Genomic DNA, 4047 nt, shown 5'->3' with positions numbered 1-4047 from the left:
TAATAATCACAGATTTAAAAGACTATTTCTTTACTACCCTCTTAGCTGAGCAAGACTGTGAACAGTTTGCATTTACAATTTCTGCAGTAAACAACCTGCAGTCTGCTAAGCATTTTCATTGTTTTATAGATGGGTCTAGTAATGGTAAGTACTCTTATTTTGGCTCAAAAAGTAAAGTTTTCCAGACATCCTATACTTCAGCTCAAAAAGCGGAGCTGGTAGCTGTAATTGAGGTATTAATTGCTTTTGATATACCTATTAATGTGATTTCTGATTCTTCATACGTGGTTCATTCCACACAAGTAATTGAAAGTGTTCAGTTACAATTGCATACAGATGAACAACTGATGACTTTATTTACCCAATTGTAAAGAGCAGTTAGGAGTAGAATGCATCCTTTTTACATCACTCACTTTAGGGCTCATACACCTCTTCCAGGACCTTTGACTGAAGGGAATCAAATGGCTGATCACCTAGTTGCTAATGCAATATCTAATGCTAGACACTTTCACAATTTAACCCATGTTAATGCCTCTGGTCTCAAAGGCAGATACAGCATTACCTGGAAAGAAGCTAAAGCTATTATCCAGCAATGCCCAACTTGCCAAATGGTACATTCCTCATCTTTTACAGGAAGAGTTAATCCTAAAGGACTGGAACCTAACTCTCTTTGGCAAATGGATGTCACACATGTTCCCTCATATGGGAGACTAGCTTATGTACATGTATGGGTGGACACTTTTTCTCACTTTGTCTGGGCTACACGCCAATCAGGAGAGTCTTCTGCCTGTGTTAAACATCACCTTTTGCAGTGTTTTGTGGTGATGGGCATTCCAGCTTCTATTAAAACAGATAATGCCCCAGGTTATACTAGCCAAGCTCTAACTACATTTTTCCCTATGTGGAATATTAAACACATTACTGGTATCCCATACAATTCTCAAGGACAAGCCATAGTAGAAAGAATGAATCTCTCCCTAAAACAGCAGTTGCAAAAGCAGAAAGGGGTGACAGAGAATATGGAACACCACAGATACAACTGAATCTAGCATTATTAACTTTAAATTTTTTGAGCCTGCCCAAAGGCCAGATGTTATCAGCAGCTGAACAGCATCTGCAGAAACCAGCTGCAAAGACAGAAGCAGAACAATTGGTTTGGTGGAGAGATCCAATAACAAAAAGTTGGGAAACAGGTAAAATAATAACTTGGGGTAGAGGTTATGCTTGTATTTCTCCAGGCCAAAATCATCAGCTGATTTGGATGCCATCAAGACACCTGAAACCTTATCATGAACCAGATGCCAAGGAAGGGACTCTGGGAGGATCCCAAGGACCCCCTGGTTGCAGCCATGTCGAGACTGACACTGAGGAGGACCCCAACTGTCAAGAGCAACACCCGTCGAACACAGCCACCCATCTGGGGACAGATCAAGAAGCTGTCACAGATGGTGGAAGAAAACCTGAGGAAAGTGGGACAACCAGTCACAACGAGTAATTTAATGGTAGCTATGATAGTGGTTATCACCACTGCCGTGAGTATTCCTTCAATATGGGCTGACACAGAGAACAATTATACTTATTGGGTATATTTATGAAACTTGGCTGACAATAATGCCTGGATGCAATCACTCTATGACACAGTTACACATGCTTTCTGATCTCAGTATTTACCATAATAATTCTGCTCATATAATTGAGGCACACCGCCCTCAGAAACCTATTTGTAAACAGGATTGGACTCAGTTAGAAAAAAATGAACCAACTTGTTTAGGAAGATTGCATTGCAGAACAGGCAGTGGTGCTGCACAATGATTCCTATGGAATCATTATTAATTGGTCCTCTAAGTGGATTTTTAGCTTGAATTGCACCTCTCAGTCTGCGTGCCACAGCCACACTATGTTCAGATGATCTGAACAAAATGGTCAGATGGTAGAAATGATAAGAAGTACGGCAAAAGTTCCTATTATCTGGACCCATGGTGGTATAGTGGCACCTCACCTCAAATGATATGGCCCACTCTAGGAGCTTAACATAACGATTTAAAATTAAAAGAACAAATATTTAAAGTACCCCAGGCATACCTGACCTTAATGCCAGGAACTGGAGTGCTTGAAGGAGTTACAGACAAATTAACAGCTAGTAACCCATTAAAATGGATAAAAACACTTGGAAGCTATGTGATTTTAATGATGATTGTGCTTTTAATCTGTGTTGTTTGTCTTTGTATAGTCTGCAGATGTGGATCCTGACTCCTGCAAGAAGTAGCCCACCCTGACAAAGCTGCCTTTGCGTTTATCGATTTGCAAATCAAAGAAGTGGGACATGTTGGGAGCAGGCCCCCCAAAATCTGGCCATAAACTGGCCCCAAAACTGGCCATAAACAAAATCTCTGTAACATGTAACATGTAACAAAAGCACTGTAACATGTTCGTAATGGCCCTAACGCCCACGCTGGAAGGTTGTGGGTTTATGGGAATGAGGGCAAGGAACACCTGGCCTGCCCAGGGCGGAAAACCACTTAAAGGCGTTCTTAAGCCACAAACAATAGCATGAGTGATCTGTGCCTTAAGGACATGCTCTTGCTGCAGTTAACTAGCCCAACCTATTCCTTTAATTCAGCCCATCCCTTCATTTCCCATAAGGCACACTTTTAGTTAATTTAATATCTGTAGAAACAATGCTAATGACTGGTTTGCTGTTAATAAATACGTGGGTAAATCTCTGTTCAGGGCTTTCAGCTCTGAAGGCTGTGAGACCCCAGATTTCCCACTTCGCACCTCTATATTTCTGTGTGTGTCTTTATTTCCTCTAGCGCTGCTGGGTTAGGGTCTCCCCGACTGAGCTGGTCTCGGCAAAAATCCCACAAAACATTACTACAGATGTTATGGTGATGAGTTGACAATTTAGAAATTATTGCTGATGAATTAAATTTTGGTATTTTATTAAAGATATGGATAATGTATTAAAAGAAAAGACAAAACCAATTTTTGCTGACTATAAACTATAAATGTGACATGCTTACAGTATTAGAATTAAATGCGTATAAATATTATAAAAATAATTGTGATCCTAATATGAACTTATAGGAAATTTGTGGCAATTAGGTCATTCAGTTATAATAAAGTTTTCATTACATGCTAAATTATAGGAAGGCATACACATTTATTAAATGGTTACGTGATACAACTTGATGTTGACTTTAATAAATACATAATGTAGATCTGAGCTGATATTTAGTGGTTAAATGCAGGTCTTATGAATATTGCTTTGGATTCATCTCATGAAATTTTATCCCCTAAAAAAACCCTTTGAAGTTATAAAAGATAATCATATTTTCTCCATAAAAGAATAATTATACACAGTCACAAACATACATAAACAAAACTATGCCTATATAAAAATAAAAATATAAAGAGTTAAAACCCAATGTGTTCTTTAATTCAGCTGGATTAAGCAAGTATTTAAATTTTTAATTTACTTATGACTTATTATCAGAGGCTGCAGAAAAAGGTGATAATAATGAAAACATCAGAGAAACAAGCTTCCTGAATTTGTATGAGGAGTTAGCCTGTAAACCAATATTTCAAAGTATATGGCAGCAACAGACAAGCCATATTATATATAATCATTCTAAACAAGCATTTCCCTGATCTGTTAGATGCTGAATTTGTATACTGCTAAGAGGCAGTTTATAGTATGGCTCAATAAGAAGTTACCTTTCTTCTTGGCTGAAAGAGATTTAACTGTGATTCAATGACATTACTCAGACTTTATGGCCTATCCCTCTTTGGGAAGGAAAAAAAATTATGGAATGATCTGCCATTTTGAAATAATCTGAAATATTTCTGTGATTCCTATGCGTACAGACTGCTGACTATTTCAAACACTTTAGGGATCTTATTTAAATGCAAAAGTAATTTCTAGTCTTGCAGTTATAAAAAAGAACTGTTAGTAACATTATTGTTGCCATCAAATATATATTTGCAATCATCCATTATTGTGTCAACAATTAAAATGCATGGAGAAAAAAATATTAAACAATTGTT

The 4047-nt window shown here is 37.6% G+C and overlaps 1 annotated feature.

The window, feature by feature from the left end:
* Nucleotides 1355-1554: a silencer, noted in NCBI's record as "fragment chr12:39584065-39584264 (GRCh37/hg19 assembly coordinates)". NCBI's record gives its function as "represses an EF-1alpha promoter that drives an FKBP-Casp9 reporter gene in an ReSE screen in K562 erythroleukemia cells {active_cell/tissue: K562}" and the evidence as "EXISTENCE:reporter gene assay evidence [ECO:0000049][PMID:32094911]".

Source organism: Homo sapiens, chromosome 12, assembly GCF_000001405.40.
Source record: "Homo sapiens chromosome 12, GRCh38.p14 Primary Assembly".
NCBI lineage: Eukaryota > Metazoa > Chordata > Mammalia > Primates > Hominidae > Homo > Homo sapiens.
This window is presented reverse-complemented; position numbering and strand designations above follow the sequence as displayed.